General features: G+C 44.4%; 1 protein-coding gene and 1 pseudogene across 1 annotated transcript, besides 4 other annotated features; one reads left to right on the top strand and one right to left on the bottom strand.

Moving 5' to 3' along the window:
- Positions 1 to 5,497: 5,497 nt before the first annotated feature.
- Positions 5,498 to 15,796, bottom strand: ZNF543 (zinc finger protein 543). The gene is made up of 4 exons (NM_213598.4): positions 15,397 to 15,796; positions 12,460 to 12,586; positions 9,540 to 9,635; positions 5,498 to 8,564 (listed from the first exon to the last, which is right to left on the bottom strand). The coding sequence occupies exons 1-4, from the start codon at positions 15,412 to 15,414 to the stop codon at positions 7,003 to 7,005; spliced, it is 1,803 nt and encodes a 600-aa protein (NP_998763.2). The 5' UTR covers positions 15,415 to 15,796; the 3' UTR covers positions 5,498 to 7,002.
- Positions 15,698 to 15,847: an enhancer, noted in NCBI's record as "active region_15132". NCBI's record gives its function as "activates an Ori minimal core promoter by ATAC-STARR-seq in GM12878 lymphoblastoid cells {active_cell/tissue: GM12878}" and the evidence as "EXISTENCE:reporter gene assay evidence [ECO:0000049][PMID:35858748]".
- Positions 15,858 to 15,977: an enhancer, noted in NCBI's record as "active region_15131". NCBI's record gives its function as "activates an Ori minimal core promoter by ATAC-STARR-seq in GM12878 lymphoblastoid cells {active_cell/tissue: GM12878}" and the evidence as "EXISTENCE:reporter gene assay evidence [ECO:0000049][PMID:35858748]".
- Positions 16,903 to 17,420: an enhancer, noted in NCBI's record as "H3K4me1 hESC enhancer chr19:57830216-57830733 (GRCh37/hg19 assembly coordinates)". NCBI's record gives its function as "activates a minimal SCP1, AML or CMV promoter by ChIP-STARR-seq in naive H9 embryonic stem cells {active_cell/tissue: H9 hESC(naive)}" and the evidence as "EXISTENCE:reporter gene assay evidence [ECO:0000049][PMID:30033119]".
- Positions 18,493 to 18,787: a silencer, noted in NCBI's record as "tiled region #10022; HepG2 Repressive DNase matched - State 4:PromP, and K562 Repressive non-DNase unmatched - State 7:EnhWF". NCBI's record gives its function as "represses a minimal TATA promoter and a strong SV40 promoter by Sharpr-MPRA in HepG2 and K562 cells {active_cell/tissue: HepG2 | K562}" and the evidence as "EXISTENCE:reporter gene assay evidence [ECO:0000049][PMID:27701403]".
- On the top strand, positions 18,518 to 19,053 carry LOC100288211 (PPPDE peptidase domain containing 1 pseudogene; annotated as a pseudogene).

The raw sequence follows: 19,550 nt of genomic DNA, 5'->3' as shown, positions 1-19,550 counted from the left end.
TGAAAATAAAAGAAATGGACAAAGATAAGCCATGCAAACATTAACTTTTAAAAATGCAGCAATTATACCTTGTATTAGTGTAAGACAAAGTATACTTCAGAGCTCAGAAAATGAACATGGACAAAGAGGAAAGTTTCATAATGATAAGAGGGACAATACATGAAGAAGATATAATAATCATAAATGCATATACACCAAACAAGAGAACATTCAAATATATGAAGCAAAAAGTGATAGAACTGAAAGAAGAAATAAAAAATTCCACAATTACTGTTGGGGACTTTAACATCCTTCTTTTAGCAAAATATTAGACAAAAAATGAGGAAAATATAGAAAGTCTGAATAACATCATTAATCAACAGGATCCATAAACACAGAATATTTTACCAAACAACACCAGAATATACATCCTTTTTACAAGTACCTACGGAATACTCCACAAGCATGTTGTTTATGGGCTTTTTGTTTATGGCCCCAAAACAAACTTCAACAAATATAAATGTTTTGAAATTAAACGAGCTTGTGCTCAGGCCAAATGTGAAACTAAAAATAACAACATGATAACAGGAGTATTTTAAATACTTGGAAATGAAAGAGCACACTTTTCTTTTTCTTTTTTTTTTTGAGACAGAGTCTTGCCCTGCCGCCAGGCTGGAGTGCAGTGGTGCGATCTCAGCTCACTGCACCCTCCGCCTCCCGAGTTCAAGCGATTCTTCTGCCTCAGCCTTCCGAGTACCTGGGATTACAGGAGCCCGCCACCACGCCAGCTAATTTTTGTATTTTTAGTAGAGATGGGGTTTCACCATGTTGGCCAGGATGGTCTCCATCTCTTGACCTCATGATCTGCCCGCCTCAGCCTCCCAAAGTGCTGGGGTTACAGGCGTGAGCCACCGTGCTCGGCCAAAAGAGCACACTTCTAAATAACCCATGTGTCACAGATAATTTCTTAAATGGAATCGAGAAATAGTTAAGCTGAATGAAAATATAATTACAATATAGGAAAATGTAAGATGGAGCTCAAACAGTGCTGAGTTTAGCTTATAAAACTAAATGCTTATGTTAGAATAAAGTCTCTAATGATAATCTAAGCTCCCACCTCAAGAATCTACAAACAGCAATATACAACCAAAACAAGTAGAAAAAGAAAATAATAATGATCAGAATAGAAATCAAAGTCAGAACACATAGAAAATCAATGACACAGAAAGCTGGTTCTTTGAAATAGTCAATAAAATTTATAAACATCTAAGAAGATTAACAAAGATAAAGAAGACACACATAACCACTATTAGGAATAAAACAAAGGATACAACTATAGAACCTTCTGTCATGAAGGGAATAATAAGGGAATACTTCAAATAAATAACTCCACAAATTTAAGTTACAAAACTTAGATGAAATGGAACAATTCCTCAAAAATAATAATCTATCAAAACCCACCCAATATGAAATAGTTTGAGTACCTATTAAGTTGAATGACTACGTAATTCAAACCTTCCACAAGAGAAACCTCCAGACTTAAATGGTTTCACCAAAAAATTCTACCGAATACTTAAAGAAACAACACCAATTCTACAAAATGTCATGCAAATAAAAAGGGGGTGGCACTGGAGGAAAAATTCCCAGTTGATTTTGGGAGGCCAGTATTAGTCAAACACCAAAATCAGATAAAGTGAAAACAAACAAATAAAACTACTGACCAACATTGCTCATTGTAGTGGTCCCCAACTCCCCTTTCTGTGTCCTGGCCTAGAAGTGCAAGGTGCCTTGACAGCTCTGTGACCCTGGACCAAGTGCATGTCTTCCCCTGCAGGCTTAAACGTAAGCTAGGGATTGGAATGCCCAGGCACTGACAGTTACATTGTTGCCCGAAACACTGAGAGATCAAACATGTTGCTAAACATGTAGAAACTGGCCCTGGATCTGAGCCAAATTCCTTAAGCCCTCATATACTCTCCATAACCCAAACTTCTCATTGCAGACGTACACAAGTAGAGCTTTTTTTTTTGTTTGCTGTCCAACACAAGGACACACTGCAGCCCCCACAACCCTGTATGAAAGTTCCTCCGAACAATGATTTGAACTGATTACCCTGGTGTTTTATGCTCCTTTCTTTGGAATCCCAACAGGTCCTATCTCAGGACTTTTTGAAACAGTCCCTTCTGGGAACCCCTCTGCCACTTTTGATGAAATTCCAGCCACATATTTGGCCAGATGGAATACTCATGATTTCAGATACAAAATTTCTCAATAAAATACTAGCAAATGGAATGTTGTAATTAAAAGAAATCATATTCCAATTAGCCAGGCATGGTGGCACATGACAGTAGTCCAAGCTATTCGGGAGGCTGAAGCAGAAGAATCGCTTGAACCTGGGAAGTGGAGGTTGCAGTGAGCCGAGATCGTGCCACTGTACTCCAGCCTGGGTGACAGAGACTTCGTCTCAAAAAAAAAAAAAAAATCATATTCCATGACCTGGTGGGGTTTATCCCAGGAGTGCAAGGCTGGCCTACATTCAAAAAGCGGCCAGGCATGGTAGCTCATGCCTGTAATTCCAGTACTTTGGGAGGCCGAGGTGGGCGGATCCCTTGAGGTTGGGAGTTCGAGACTAGCCTGGCCAACATGGTGAAACCCCATCTCTACTAAAAATACAAAAATTAGCTGGGCATGGTGGTGCACGCCTGTAGTCCCAGCTACTTGGGAGGCTGAGGCAAGAGAATTGCTTGAACCTGGGAGGCGGAGGTTGCAGTGAGCTGAGATTGCTCCACTGCTGCACTCCAGCCTTGGCGAAAGAGTGAGACTTGGTCTCAAAAAAACAACAAAACATTCTAAAATCAGTTAAAGCCATCCATCATAACAGGCTAAAGAAGAAAAATTACATGATCATATCAATTGAAGGGGGAAAAGCATTTGGCAAATTACATGCCCATTCACAATAAAAGCCCTCAGCAACTCAGAAGGGAAACTTTCTAAAGAACATGTACATAAAAGTCTACAGGTATTATATTTAACGATCTACACTGAATGCTTTCTCCCAAACATCAAGAAAAAGGCAAGTATGTCCTCTTTCACCATTTCTATTCAACATCACACTGGAAGTTCTAGCTAGTGCAATAAACACAAGAAAAGGAAATAAAAGTAATATAGATTGGGTAGGTGAAATAAGATGTTTGGGCCAGGAGCAGTGGCTCATGCCTATAATTCCAGCACTTTGGGAGGCTGAGGCAGGAGGCTCACTTGAGCTCAGGAGTTTGAGACCCGTCTGGCAACATGGTGAAACCTCATCTCTACAAAATACACAAATATTAGCTGGGCATAGTGGAGTGTGCTAGTAATCCCAGCTACTCGAGAGGCTGAGGGTAAAAATTCCTTGAACCCGAGAGGCAGAGGTTGCAGTGAGCCAAGATCGCACCACTGTACTCCAGCTTAGGTGACAGAACAAGAGTGTCAAAAAAAAAAAAAAAAAGTAGAAGTAAGATGTTTGATGTTTGCTAATAACATTAATATTTATGAAGAAAATCCTAAGAAAGCTATTAAAAAATGTTGCTGGAACTACTGACTTCAGCAAAGTCACAGAATACATATAAAAATTCTAATTTATATATTTCTCTATAATTGCAAGTATCAAGTGCAAACTGAAATTTAAAACTCAATACAACATATAATGGCCCTCTAAGAAACTGTCTAGATTTTTAAAATATGTCCATAATCTATAAGCTGAAAATTACAAAACCCTTATGAAATAAATCAACGAGGACCTCAATAAACAGAGGGACGTACCATATTCATGAACTGCAAGACTCAACAAGATGTCAATTCCCACCAAAACGATCTTTAGATTTAAGGCAATTTATATCAAAATCCCAGCAACATATTTCATAGAGACAAACATGCAATAAAATGTATATACAAAGCCAAAGGAAACAATTGATATGAAAGCCAAATCAATTTTTATTTTTTATTTATTTTTTGAGACAGGGTCTCACTCTGTCACCCAGGCTGGAGTGTAGTGGCACCATCTCAGCTCACTGCAACTTCCACCTCCCGGGTTCAAACAATTCTTCTGCCTCAGCCTCCCGAGTAGCTGGGACTACAGGCGCCTGCAACCTTGCCTGGCTAGGTTTTGTATTTTTTAAATAGAGACGAGTTTTCATCATATTGGCCAGGCAGGTCTTGAACTCCTGACCTCATGTAATCTGCCCACCTTGGCCTCCGAAAGTGTTGGGATTACAGGCGTGAGCCACCATGCCTGGCCCCAAATCAATTTTTAAAAAGAATAAAGAGTGAGGAATAAGTTTACCCTATTTTAAAATTTAGTAGATAGCAATAGTAATCAAAATAGAGTGGTATTGGCATAGGTTTAGGCTCGAAGACCAATGGAATAACATAGAGAACCAAGAAATAGACCAACATGAATATACTTAAATAATTTTTTGCTAAGGTGTAAAAGCAATTCAATAGAGGCAGAATAGTCTTTTCAAGAAATGGAGCTTAAAAAAATTCATGGGCAACAACAAAAGAAACTAAAGTTCATACTGTAATACAAAAATTAACTTAACATGAATCAGATCCAATGTAGAAGATAAAATTTGTAGGAGGAAATACGATAGAAAACCTGGTGAGGAGTTCTTAGACATGACATAAAAAGGACAAGGAGGGCCAGGCGTAGTGGCCACGCCTGTAATCCCAACACTTTGGAAGGTTGAGCCAGGCAGATCACAAGGTTAAGAGATGAAGACCATCCTGGCCAACATGGTGAAACCCCATCTCTACTAAAAATACAAAAATTAGCTGGGTGTGGTGGCACAAACCTGTAGTCCCAGCTACTTGGGAGGCTGAGGCAGGAAAATCACTTGAACCCGGAAGGTGGAGGCGGCTGCAGTGAGCCGAGATCTCACCACTGCACTCCAGCCTGGGCAACAGAGCGAGACTCCATCTCAATTAAAAAAAAAAAAGGACCAAGAGATGTCTTCAAAATAATGACATGAATTAATGCAGTACAAAATGGCTTTGCCTACAATAGAAAACTATACAAGTGTTCACTAAAAGGCTGTGAGCGCTGGGCGCAGTGGCTCACACCTGTAATCCCAGCACTTTGGGAGGCCGAGGCAGGTGGATCACCTGTCAGGAGTTCGAGATCAGCCTGACCAACATGCAGAAACCCCATCTCTATTAAAAATACAAAATTAGCTGGGCGTGGTGGCGCATGCCTGTAATCCCAGCTACTTGGGAGGCTGAAGAAGAATCGCTTGAACTCGGGAGGCAGAGGTTGCAGTGAGCCAAGACTGTGCCACTGAACTCCAGCCTGAGCAACAAGAGCAAAACTCTGTCTCCAAAAAAAAAAAAAAAAAAAAGGCTCTGAGGAGGGAAGTCCCACTTGGACACCCCTCTCTTCTCAGAAGAGAGCTAGTCTCTTTTCTCTTTCTTTTGCCTATTAAACCTCTGCTCCTAAACCAAGTAAGTAAATAAGTAAATAAATAAAAAAGGCTTTGAGGAGTTCAAAGTGAATACATGATTATTTTTACTTCTGTACAATATATTTAATATGAGGTAAAACTATCACATGGCTCAAAATCTAGTCTTAAAAATATAAAAAAGGAATTACAAAACGCTCTAAATGTGTAGCATTTTAATCAAGCCTAAGTCCATGGTGACAACTGTGAAAGTCACACATCCCTACATATATGCATGCCGGCTTGCCTGTTAAAATTCCAGTTAAAGTGAATTTTCACACACTCTTTAAAAAGATTAAAAATGACATTCCTTCTATGTTTGTTCTTCTGAGTTTATCATGATCTTTCAAAGGAATTCAGCTACATACTGTATTTTTGGGGGGGCCTTAATTTGACCTTTAGAAAACTGAGGTGGACCTAACTCAAAGGAGAGGTAAAGAAGCTGAGAAACCACAATCATAGGAAAAAACTAAGATTCCCAGGATTACTGTGGGCATGAACAATTACACTATCATCCCTATCCCAGGAAAACTTAAAAAAAAAAAAAAAAAGTAAATCCACATCAAGAAAAAGTATGTGTATTGGGTAAAGACACATGGTGAAACATTTTTTTAAACAAGCATCTGAAGTGGACAATGTGTCCAAACATATGTACATCCTTATCTCCTTATAAAAGTGTTTCATAACTCAAGCCTCCATATTTTTTATAAAGATGTATGCTTCTGCACCTCGAGAGTGGAGAACGTTGCAGGACTAAGCAAGTTTTCACAAAATGTTTTCAAGCCCTCGTTTGTATAACTGTTCTGACACTGGGCAGCAGTGAATGCATACACAGAAAAATAAAGGGGATGAGATCTTTCGTTTCTGAAACATTTCCCTCTCCCACATAAAATAACAAAGGGACGACAAAATTGCCATAGGCTTGTCAGACAAGTCTAAAAGAAGCTGTGGTTTCTTTCTCTTCCCTATATTTCCTCTTCCTTTGTTTAAATATCCCTGAGATGGCCGGGCGCGGTGGCTCACGCCTGTAATCCCAGCACTTTGGGAGGCTGAGGCGGGCGGATCACGAGGTCAGGAGATCGAGACCATCCCGGCTAAAACGGTGAAACCCCGTCTCTACTAAAAATACAAAAAATTAGCCAGGCGTAGTGGCGGGTGCCTGTAGTCCCAGCTACTTGGGAGGCTGAGGCAGGAGAATGGCGTGAACCCGGGAGGCGGAGCTTGCAGTGAGCCGAGATCCCGCCACTGCACTCCAGCCTGGGCGACAGAGCGAGACTCCGTCTCAAAAAAAAAAAAAAAATATCCCTGAGATAATATTTCACTGTAAACTAAGAAGAAAGATGTGGCTGAAAGTTTTCCTAAGTGCATAGCAACCACTGGGTCTCTCTCATGGGTGAATTCTCAGGTGGAGAATAAGACTCCAGGCTGGTTCAATTTCTAACTTGATTGTTTAGACGACAAATGATCATCTATTACACGTTTTCTCAAAGAGAGGATGCTTATGAAGTTTCTCTTCAGTGTGAATGGCCAGATGGTAAGATGTTCCCTTTCACCACAGATTTTCTTCAGTGGTGATATTCAAAAACTCTTTCCCTAATAAAAGTTCCTGGATGTTGACTGAAGTCTGTGCAGTCATAAAAGGTCTTCCCACATCTGTTACAATGGTAGGGTTTCTCCCAGTATGAATCCTTTGATGATGTGTGAGGGATGAGCCGCGATTAAAAGCCTTTCCACACTCACTGCATTCATACGGCTTCTCTCCAGTGTGAATGATGGAGTGTCGAATAAGGTTTGCGCTCCGGCAAAAGGCTTTCCCACACTGGATGCATTCATAGGGTTTCTCTCCAGTGTGAATCTGTTGGTGCCTCGTGAGGTGTGAGCTGCGGTTGAAGGCCTTTCCACACTCCACGCACTCATAGGGTTTCTCTCCAGTGTGGATGCTGAAGTGGCGAATGAGGTCTGCCCTATCACTAAAGGCTTTTCCACATTCTTTGCATTCATAGGGTTTTTCTCCTGTGTGGGTCCTTTTATGCAAGACAAAAGTGGAGCAGTGGGTGAAGGCCTTTCCACATTCACTGCATTCATAAGGCTTCTCCCCAGTGTGAATCCGTTGATGCTGCTTGAGGTGTGACCTACGGTTGAACGCCTTCCCACACTCCATGCACTTATAGGGCTTCTCCCCAGTGTGGATAATGTAGTGTTGAATGAGGTCTGCACTCTCGCAAAAAGCTTTTCCACACTCGTTGCATTCAAAGGGTTTCACTCCAGTGTGAATCTGTTGGTGCCACGTGAGGTATGACCGGCGGTTGAAGGCCTTCCCACACTCAATGCACTCATAGGGCTTCTCTCCCGTGTGGATGATGTAGTGTCGAATGAAACCTGGCCTATCTCGAAAGGCTTTGCCACACTCTTTGCACACAAAGGGTTTTTCTCCAGTGTGGCTCCTGTGATGCAAGACAAAAGTGGAGCGGTGGGTGAAGGCCTTTCCACATTCACTGCACTTATAAGGCTTCTCTCCACTGTGAATCCGCTGGTGCCGTGTGAGGTGTGACCTGCGGTTAAAAGCCTTCCCACACTCCATGCACTTATAGGGCTTCTCCCCAGTGTGGATGATGAGGTGCTGAAGAAGATGAGTGCTCTTGCTAAAGGTTTTCCCACACTCTGTGCATTCATAGGGCTTCACTTGAGTGTGAATCCGTTCATGCTGAACAAGGAGGGCATTCTTTTTAAACACTTTCCCGCATTCCTCACATTTATAGGAATTTTTCTCTTCGCGAATCAAGGCATCTGTAACTGGTCCATGTGAATCACATTCATAGAGATCACCTTCTGTTGAAACTTGTTTCTGTGTAATCTTTGTACATACACCATCATCTGACCCCAAACCATCACGTTCAGAACTCATTTTCTCCAGCAGCTTCCCCCGCTGGGGGCCTATCCCTATTTTCAAGTGGACTTCTTGCATTTCAGATGGCCCATCCTGATCCTTGGATTGCCCTAATTGGGAGTTCTTTGAGGCTCCTTGTGTCAGTTGTTCCTGGAGTAAGACTTCCTCAGGCAAGGCCAGGTGAGAAAAGGTAGGCTCTGTGGTCTTGGGTTTTGTGTTGTCACCTGGAACGAACACAATACACAAAAAGGCTTATTAGAGATGGCATTATAGAAAAAACAAAGGCCAGGGACAGTGATTCATACCTGTAATCCCAGCACTTTGGGAGGCCAAGGCAGGCAGATCACCTGAGGTCAGGAGTTTGAGACCAGCCTGGCCAACATGGTGAAACCCCGTCTGTGCTAAAAATACAAAAATTAGCTGGGCATGGTGGTGCACGCCTGTAATCCCAGCTACTCAGGAGGCTGAGGCAGGAGAATCACTTGAACCCAGGAGACGGAGGTTGTAGTGAGCCAAGACTGCACCATCGCACTCCTGCCAGGGCAACAGTGGGAGGCTCCATCTCGGAAACAAACAAACAAAAAGGGCCAAAAATAGAGTCTGCCTTGTAAGACTATAGTGAAGATGAAGTGAAACACTACATATACTATCGTCGGCAGAGAGCAAGGCACTGAGTAAGAAATAAATACATGTTAGCCATAATTTTTTATTATGCGTTAGTGAAATATATACATCTGGGACCTAACTTGGAAGTACTTAAATTTAAGATGTAAGAGGCCAGGCTTGGTGGCTCAGCATTTTCGAACACTGAGGCAGGAGGAGAGCTTGAACCCAGGAGTTTGAGACCAGCCTCAGCAACATAACAAGACCATCTCTATAAAAAATTTTAAAAACTCAGCCAGGCATGGTGCATATGCCTGTAGTCTCAGCTACCCGGGAGGCTGAGGTGGGAGAATCCCTTGAGCCCAGGAGGTTGAGGCTGCAGTGAGCTATGATCACATCACTGTACTCCAGCCTGAGTGACAGAGTGAAACCCTGTCTGAAGGCGGGTGGGGGGGGGCGGGCGGGGAGAGGCTCCATGGATCCCAAGCACCCAGAGAGACCACAATAAGAAGATTGCCCACAAAATTCAGAGGCAGTGTTCACTTTTCCATGTGTAAGCTGCCATGACCCCCACCTTCCCAGCTGTTGGCTCCTACCTGGATAGGAGCTTTGGGAGAGGTCTTTTGTAGCCATCCATAGCTCCTGTCTGTGATCCAACTGGTAGATCAGCTCTGGTTTGAACAAAGGACAGCCTGTGCATGGAGAACAAAAGAGGACACAGGGAGTTAGGTTAGAAGAAAGAAACCTGTCAATCTGATCTGGGACTGCAGGATGGGGAAGACCATGAAGTGAAGCTATTCTCAGCCAAGCAAAGAAAACGTTGAACCGTGACCATAAAACAACCACAAAAACACCATCTGGCAGGGCACAGTGGGTCATGCCTGTAATCCCAGCACTTTGGGAGGCCAAGGCAGGTGGATCACCTGAGGTCAGGAGTTCGAGACCAGCCTGCCCAACATGGTGAAACCCCATCTCTACTAAAAATACAAAAAGTTAGCCAGGTGTGGTGGCGGGTACCTGTAGTCCCAGCTACTCGGGAGGCTGAACCCAGGAGGCGGAGGTTGTAGTGAACCGAGATCATGCCACTGCACTCCAGCCTGGGCGACAAGAGCGAAGCTCCGTCTCAAAAAAAGAGAAAAAAAACATCCTCATTGGGCCCCAAAGACTGTAAGCAGTAGTGCTGGCTGTGTGATAGTACCAATTACTTTTAATCTCCATCCTACAAAAATCTCAACCCTGTTAAGACAAATTTTCTGAAGGGATTTTATAATTAGTCCCCATGGCAGTAGAAAAGTCCTGGTCTCCATCATCTTGCAAATGGCAACCCTGATCAACTGTACTCTGAGGTAGGCAGGTGACCTATACCAGCCACTCCAAAGAGAGAAAAAACCTTCTCTTTCAGGAAGGGCTAAATGAGGGAGGCTGCCACTCCTGCTGCCATGCAGCATCCTGGGAATTCTGTGAGGGAACCTGCCTAAAAACCTTACCAAGAAGAGGGAGCAAAGAGGCTGGGCACAGTGGCTCACGCTTGTAATCCCAACGCTTTGGGAGTCTGAGACCAGCTAGGGCAAATGGTGAAACCCCATCTCTACTAAAAATACAAAAAGTAGCCGGGTGTGGTGTCATGCACCCGTGGTCCCAGCTACTTAGGAGACTGAGGTGGGAGGATCACTTGAGACTGGAAGGTGAGGCTGCAGTGAGCTGAGATCGTACCACTGCACTCCAGTGTGGGTTACAGAGTGAGACCCTGTCTCCAAAAAAGAAAAAAGAAAGTGGGAGCAAAGAAAGACAACTGGCTTGACACCCACCAACCCAGGAGCCAGCCTTACCACTAAGCTTATTAGGTGAGATAATATATTTCCTTCAGGGTTAAGACTGTATGAGCTGATCTGCACATATAGCCCAAAACTTTTCAAAATATAAGGGGGTAAAAGACATAAGTACTCTATGGAGAAGTTAATGGCACAGGCAGTAGGACCCACAAAAACACAGGGTGGGATTCATCAGTCATCTCTAAGCAAATGTTCACTCATTTTTGCTATGTGCTTGGCACTGGGTTCAATGACAGTGCAGTGAAAAAGGGGAATCAGACCTTCCTTCAGCTTTGTCAGGATCATGCTCTTCACCACCTCAGGGCCTTTGCACATGCCAGCCTGCCTACTTGGAATACTACTTGCTCCTCTATCTTGCTCCTTCTAATCAACTCACTCTTTGGGTCTCAGCTCAAATGTCACTTCTTGGAGAGACTTTGCTGCTGTGGCTCTCAAATCCAAGTCCTTAATCAATATGCCACCTGGCCATAGAACTTTACTCCTAATAGTATGTCAATAACTGATATTTATACAATGTAACTATAACCTAGGGAATATGCCAAGCAATTTAAATGCATTGTATTTTATAAACACTCAATTAAATTTAGTCATTAGTTTAGAAAAGAAATAACATATTTGAGATACTGAGTCTCCATTCAGGAGAAAGGTAAGTTTCTTCACTGACCTAAGGCTTTTTTTTTACATTCTAAGCAAAGCATTACATTGCTACTCCTATGGTCCCTGCATGAAAAATTCTATTTTAGGATTTCTTCACAGGATGCACATTAAGAATGTACTGCAATCAGGACCACATTATAGATGAAGAGATCGAGGCTCAGGCAGATAAAGTGACTTGCCAAAATCTGGGAAATGGCGAATGGCCAAGCCAAAATGTACACCTGAGTCTAGTCATCAAAAGCATCTGGCCAATTTAACTAAAAAACTATACAAAGTTGTTCCAAAAACTGCGGAGTCCAAGTGTGATACTGCTGATTATGAGGACAATGATTTAGACAGCAGTGACAATAGTGACAGCAACAGAGGTCACAATTGCTAACCTGCGCCCAGCCACCTATCACAACACACTCTACTGAACCATTTGCCCTCACACTAGCCCTATGAAACAAATACTATATTGGCCTTTTTTTTTTTTTTTTTTCAGACGGAGTCTCTCTCACACTGTCGCCTGGGCTGGAGTGTAGTGATGAGATCTCAGCTCACTGCAACTTCCGCCTCCCGGGTTCAAGTGATTCTCCTGCCTCAGCCTCCTGAGTAGCTGGGATTACAGGCACCCGCCATCACACCCGGCTAATTTTTTGTATTTTTAGTAGAGACGGGATTTCACCATGTTGCCCAGGCTTGTCTCAAACTCCTGACCTCCTGATTTGTCCGCGTCGGCCTCCCAAAGTGCTGGGATTACAGACATGAGCCACTGTGCCTGGCCTGGCCCTTTTTATTCATGAGAAAAACTGAGGCACAGAGGGATTCCTTAACTTGCCCAGGAACACAGGGATCATGAGCAGTGGAGATGGGAGTGGACTCCTGGACACCAGACCCTGGTCTCCCAAGTGCTACGCTCAGAGCCAATGGTGAACACCCCTGCGTGGTGCCAGGAGCCTCAGAACAAGTGGGCTGTGGAGGAGAGAGGGGAACATGAGTAGGAGAACTCAATCCTAAGGGAGCACAGGACCAGAAGGGGCCTTACCCAGAGACATGAGAAGTCCGCAGGTCTCCAGCATCACCTCCTGATACAAGGTTCTCTGGGCTGCATCCAACTGTCCCCACTCCTCCTGGGTGAATGTCACAGCCACATCCTCAAAGGTCACAGACACCTGGAAAATTAAACAGAGATAGTAGTGTTTCCCTTGGAACTGTGGAATACAACTAGAACTTGTCACTTCAGCACTGCAAAAGATGCGCAGTGACCCAAGAATCAAATCACCAAGCATCTCTAGAGGGCCATGATCTGTGCCAGGCATGAGGGGAATGTGGACATTGCCTTGGATAAATTACAGCAGTGTCGGTCAGGCGCGGTGGCTCACGCCTGTAATCCCAGCACTTTGGGGGGCCATGAAGGGCAGATCACGAGGTCAGGAGATCGAGACCATCCTGGCTAACATGGTGAAACCCCGTCTCTGCTAAAAATACAAAAAAATTAGCCGGGCGCGGTGGCGGGCGCCTGTATTCCCAGCTACTCGGGAGGCTGAGGCAGGAGAATGGCGTGAACCCGGGAGGCGGAGCTTGCAGTGAGCCGAGATCGTGCCACTGTACTCCAGCCTGGGTGACAGAGCGAGACTCGTCTCAAAAAAAAAAAAAAAAATTACAGCAGTGAAGAGAGAGAAGCCTCCTATGCAGAAAGCCACTTCACACAGAAATAAGGTTAGGACAATCCTAAGGGGACTGAGAGGCAAGACAGTAAGTGCTCTGAGACATCAGAGGAATGGGAAAGAATAATAACAAAAACAACACCAGCAACAACAACAAGAACAGCACCTGAGTCTTACCGATCCTCCCTGTGAGCCTGCCTCATGCTAATGGCTTTACATGCCATGGTAAAGTGACTAAAAGTCCCCAGCTCAGGAGTCAGACTCCTGAGGTTTAAAACCAAATTCCTGAAATCAACACAAGCCTGCTATGTGACCTTGGAAATCTCATTTCATTTATCTGAGCCCTGATGTCCAGGTCAACACAACAGGGTTTTCCACTTCACCAAGAATAGTCAAAAGATCTGAAGAAAAGCTGTAAAGGAAACACTGGGGCAAAGGGCCACAGCTCCTGAGTTCACCATCATCATCTCCATGTCACACTCAGAGACTTGAGGTCCAGGACCTCCACTAGTCTACCCAAAGTCACATCTCTTATCAGGAGAGACAGAATTTGAACCCAGGGCCCTATGGTCTATGTTCTAATCATGCAACCCGACACTCCTTCATTAGCAAAGTTAATGCACAGTTAATGAGGATGGGAAACATTGAAATACATCCATTTGAGCCACCCTGAAAATATTTTCAGGATTTTTTTTTTTTTTTTTGAGACAGGGTCTCAATATTTTGCCCAGGTTGGGCTTGAACTCATGATCCTCCTGCCTTAGCCTCCCAAGCTGGATATACAGACACATGCCACTGTGCTGGGGTTAGCCACTTGAAATATTTTCATGGACCTGGGCAGAGCAGCATAGTCATAATCACCTACCTCACAGAAGAGTCACCTGAGGTGGTGGCACCTGCCTCAAAAGTGGCAGGGCCTGGACCTGCATCTGCTGCCTCGGACACTTCTGGGCCTCACAGATGCCCATTCTCATAGGAAGAATCCACAACGAGCTATCACTACCTTTTCCTGTTTGAGTCCTACCAACAAGTATCCCTGAGGTCAGGATACTTCAGGAGCAAGGAACAAGAGTCACAGAGGACACAGCAGGTTGTAGCCATGAGAACATGGGCCCCTGACTGGCTATGTCTGTCCTGGCTAAGGAGGAAGGCACATCTAGCAAAAGACCACAAAATCTTGTGTCCCAAGACATGTGTCAGCTGGTATAGGAGAAAACCACTCAGGAAACCACTGTGGAAGCCACACGGGTCCCCTGCGGACTCCTTAAACAACCAATAAACCATTTTTTTTTAGTCCACACAGTTCCACCAGCATGAAATGCCATGACTCCTCATGTCCAAGACCACCTGCTAGAAGGAAGCCTGCTCAACTTGCAAAGTTTACTTTAGGTGTCACCCCCAGGCCTCCCTAACCATTGCGGGCAAAGAAGAGGGTAAAAACACAGGCTGTGATGGTAGACACACCAGTTGTTAGTTTCTGATACTTAAGAGCTACAGTGATGTAAGGCAGGTAATTGAACCTATGTGAGCCTCCAGCTGCTCTTGTGTAAAACAGTGAGGACAAGAGAACCTAATTCTAAGGAGTTCAGGATTAAAGGAGCTGAGGGTTAAATAATGCCTGCCAATCAGCCCACAGCAAGGACTCTTTATGATCAGCTGTCACTCTTTGCAATTATTTCGTTTCTCTTTGTTCACATAACATCCTAGACCAACTCAAACGGCAAGCTTCTTTAATATCGTCAGATTCTCTATACAAAAATGCCACACATTGCCAAAAATGGGCAAGTGCGTAAGGCGCCACTTTAGCCGGAATTGCCAAGAAAGCCACCTCCAAATAGGTGACATCTGGACAGAGGCCAGAAAGATATGAGAGGGAGGCCCTGCGAAGTTATAGGGGCAGTGTTCAAGGCAAAGGGAAGTGCAAAGAGAAAGCCTGGAAAAAGGAAGAAGACTGCACGGTCAGGTTGGTGGCTCTGAAGAGCAAAGGACAAGGGAAAAATGGAGAGACAAGGTCAGGGGTGGTTGGCCAGGTGGATGGGGTAGGGGCTGGCAGGCAACAGAGGAGGTTGGATTTAAGGGAAGTGTGATGAGATCCATGAAGGAAGCATCATTCATCCTTCTACCAAGGACTGAGCACCTGTCGGAGGCCAACACTATTGCAGGACTGCGGATAAAGGAAATGACAAGCTACGGCCACTTCTCTTAAATAAACGACGGCGACAAAGAAACATCCTGTGGCTGTCTTGGCTTCTGCCTGCCCACGAGGCCTCCAGAAGTAGCAGAGCAGCAGCAAGGCCAAAACCTCGTCCACTCACCTGCGCCGAGGCTGCCATCCTGAGACCCTGCAGCCCTAGCGGGGCCCGGGAATGCCGCGGCTCAGCCGACCCCCAGCCCTTCTCTGTCCTGGGCGGGGCGACCTCGGCTGACTTTCGCACTCGGAGCCTCAGTTTCCCCAGAGAAAAATGCGCACAAAGCGGGCGCAGCGTCGGGGCTGAGGAGACGGAGGGCGGCTGCGGAGGCCTAGGCCTCGGCAGGCGCCGGTGGAACACCCCGTTAGGGAAGAAGCGGGGCGTCAGGCTCCCGCCAAGATGCGGAGAAGGCGCGTAACAGCCTCATTACCCTCCCCTGCTCAGGCCGCTGGACGCGCCTACCCAGCGGTCCAGGCCCCACACTGTTCCAGGGCCAATCCTGCTCACGGAGATGACGTCACGCGACGAAGCGGAAGTCCCACCTCCGCCGCCCTGGCCCGCAGAAATCGCCCGTGTCCTGGCCCGTCATTGGCCTAGAGTCCGCGGCCGACGCAAGGGGTGGTGCCTTCTGAGTAAGGCAGTTTTTCCCTCACATCTACCGGGTGTGGGAACTCACCAAGCGCAGCCGACTCCATTTAAGTGCGCACAAGGACCCCCGCGTCGTCTTAGGGCCGCCGCTTTACTATGGGCACAAGTCGGAGGGTCGAAAGGTCCTTTCTAGCTTAGGAAAATTGAGGTCAGGAGGCGGGGATATTCGCCCCGATTGAGATCATGGGCTGGGCCCAGAGCTTCTGGCTCACTTCCCTTATTTTAGGGAGGTAGCTCATATATGTAATCTCAGTGCTTTGGGATGCCAACACAAAATAATTGCTGAGGTCAGGAGTTTGAGACCACCCTGGGCAATATAGTAAGATGTTATATCTACCAAAAAAAAAAAAAAGAGCAAGGCATGATGGTGTACACCTGTAGTCCTAGACACTGGGAGGCTGAAGCAAGAGGATTGCTTGAGCCCAGGAATTTGAGGTTATAATGAGATATGATGAGAGAAAACACACACACATAAACACACTGAGATGCCATCTTATACTGGTCAGAGTGGCTATTATTAAAAAGTAAAAAACCAACAGATGTTGGTATGGATGCAAGGAAAAGGGAACGCTTATATGCTATTGGTGGGAATGTAAATTAGTACAACCTCTATGGAAAACAGTATGGAGATTTATCAAAGAACTGAAAATAGAACTGCCATTTGATCTGGCAATTCCACTATTGGGTATTTACTTAAAGGAAAATAAACCACTATATCAAAAAGATGCCTGTACTTACATGCTTACTGTAGCACTATTCACAGTAGCAAAGTCATAGAATCAACCTAAGTGTCCATCGACAGATGATTGGATAAAGAAAATGCGATATATATATGTATATATATGTATGTATATGTATATATGTATATATATGTATGTATATGTATATATGTATGTATATGTATATATATGTATATATGTATGTATATGTATATATATGTATATATGTATGTATATGTATATATATGTGTATATATGTATGTATATGTATATATATGTATATATATGTATGTATATGTATATATATGTATGTATATGTATATATATGTATATATATGTATGTATATGTATATATATGTATATATATGTATGTATATGTATATATGTATATATGTATGTATATGTATATATATGTATATATATGTATGTATATGTATATATGTGTATATATATATACACTCCATGGAATACTACTCAGTCATTAAAAAAAATCATGGCTTTTGCAGCAATATGGCTGGAACTGGGGGGCCATTCTCTTAAGTGAAATAATTCAGAAACAAAGTCAAATACTGCATGTTATCACTTATAAGTGGTAGCTAAATGATGTATACATATGGAAATAGTGGAATAATAGACACTGGAGATTCAAAAAGGTGGGAGGCATTGCCGGGGACCCCTCACACCATGGTGCTTCACTCACCTACACCACAGCCATGCCACCCCATTGGCACACACTTGCAGGTAGCCCCCCTCTACTGCCCAAGTGGTGCACACTTGCCTGTGGCCTCCCCATCCCCCAGCCACAGTGCACTCTCTGCAGTCCCCACAATGCTCTGCTGGAGCACTTTTGCCAGCAGACTGAGAACACCTCAGCCCCTCTAGCACAGCAGGTGCTTCACCCCAAGCAGCCAGAGAACAAAGCCAAGGGCTTAATCCCCTCTACCCAGGTTTACAGCATGCAGCTCAGGAGTGCTCAGCTGAGCCTTGGCCTGTGAAAGCACCCATAATTGAAACCATGAAACTAAACCCAACTTATACCACAGTAAAACTCCCAAGGGCATCAAATAATATAAAAGCAGAAAGCCCCATCCAAAGGAGAGCAACTTCAAAGATTCAAGGAACATCAGCCCACACATATGAGAAAGAACCAGTGCAAGATTTCTGGCAACTCTAAAGGTCTCCAAACGACTGCACTAGCTCCCTAGTGATGGTTTGGAACCATGCTTAAATGGCTGAAATGACTTAGAATTCAGAGTCTGGATGGCAAGGAAGGAAAAATCCAAGGAAACCAATAATGCAATCCAAGAGTTTAAATATAATATTACCATATTAACAAAGAACCAAAATGGGCTGGGCACGGTGGCTCACGTCTGTAATCCCAGCACTTTGGGAGGCTGATGCGGGTGGATCACTTGAGGTCAGGAGTTCGAAACCAGCCTGACCAACATGGTGAAACCCTATCTCTACTATAAATACAGAAATTAGCTGGGTGTGCTGGCAGGCACCTGTAATCCCAGCTACTCGGGAGGCTGAGGCACAAGAGTCCCTTGGATCCAGGAGATGGAGGTTGCAGTGAGCCAAGATCATGCCATTGCACTCCAGCCTGTGCAACAGAGCAAGACTCCGTCTCAAAAAAAAAAAAAAAAAAAAAAAAAGAAAGAAAAAAAAGAAAGAAAAGAAAAAGAGTCATCAAACTGAACTTCTGGAAATAAGAAATTAACTACAGCAATTGCAATTTCATAATGTAACTGGAAGCGCTAACAACAGAATAGACCAAGCTTAGAAAATAGTCTCAGAGCTCAGTTTTTCCCCATGTGTCTGCCGCCTAGGGGAGGTGCCTCATCCGGAGCGGGCCGCCAGCTGTCCGGCCCTGTCCGCACAGAGGCTCCTGTCGTTGGCGCCCGGGAGTGGCTTGGCTGCCCGATGCTTCTGCCCCGGCTGCCACGGGCAGGGCTGTACGCTTAGTGCCCGGCTCAGGCCCCTTGAAGCGCCCGCGGGGGTGGGAGCGGCCTCCGGCCCCGCGGAGACCGAGCGGCTTGAGGACTAGGCGGCGGCCGCGGGGAGGAGGATGGGGGCTAACCAGTTAGTGGTGCTCAACGTGTGTGACATGTATTGGATGAAGGAATATACCTCATCCATTGGAATTGGAGTTTTTCATTCAGAAATTGAAGTCTATGGCAGAGAATTTGCTTATGGTGGCCATCCTTACCCCTTTTCTGGAATATTTGAAATTTCCCCAGGAAATGCTTCTGAACTAGGAGAACCATTTAAATTTAAAGAAGTTGTTTTAGGGAGCACGGACTTCCTAGAAGATGATATAGAAAAAATTGTAGAAGAACTGGGAAAAGAATACAAAGGCAATGTTTATCATTTAATGCATAAAAACTGCAATCATTTTTCTTCAGCTTTATCAGAGGTAAACTAAATTTTATCCTAAAAGTTCTTCAAATAAGTGTTTGCTATCCCACAAAAAAAAAGAAAATAATCTCAGAGCTCAAACACGACTCCTTTGAACCAATACAGCAGAAAAAAATAAAGAAAAAAGAATTTTAAAAAATGAATAAAACCTACAAGAAATATGGGATATGTAAAAAGACCAAGCCTATAACACATTGGCATTCCAGAAAGAGATGGAGAGACAACAAGGAACTTGGAAAACATATTTGATGATACTGTCCATGAACATTTCCCCAACCACACTAGAGAGGTTGACATGCAAATTCAGGACATTCAGAGAACCCCTGTGAGATGATATTATACAAGATGACCATCCCTAAGACACATAGTCATCAGATTCTCCAAGGTCAATACAAAAGAAAAACATTAAAGGCAGCTAGAGAGAAGTGGCAGGTTACCCACAAAAGGAACCCGATCAGGCTAACCGTGGACCTTTCAGAAAGTTTACAAGCTGGA

This window comes from Homo sapiens, chromosome 19, assembly GCF_000001405.40.
Source record: "Homo sapiens chromosome 19, GRCh38.p14 Primary Assembly".
In the NCBI taxonomy this organism is placed as follows: Eukaryota; Metazoa; Chordata; class Mammalia; order Primates; family Hominidae; genus Homo; species Homo sapiens.
The sequence above is the reverse complement of the archived record's forward strand: the minus strand, read 5'-3'. Positions and strand labels throughout refer to the sequence as shown.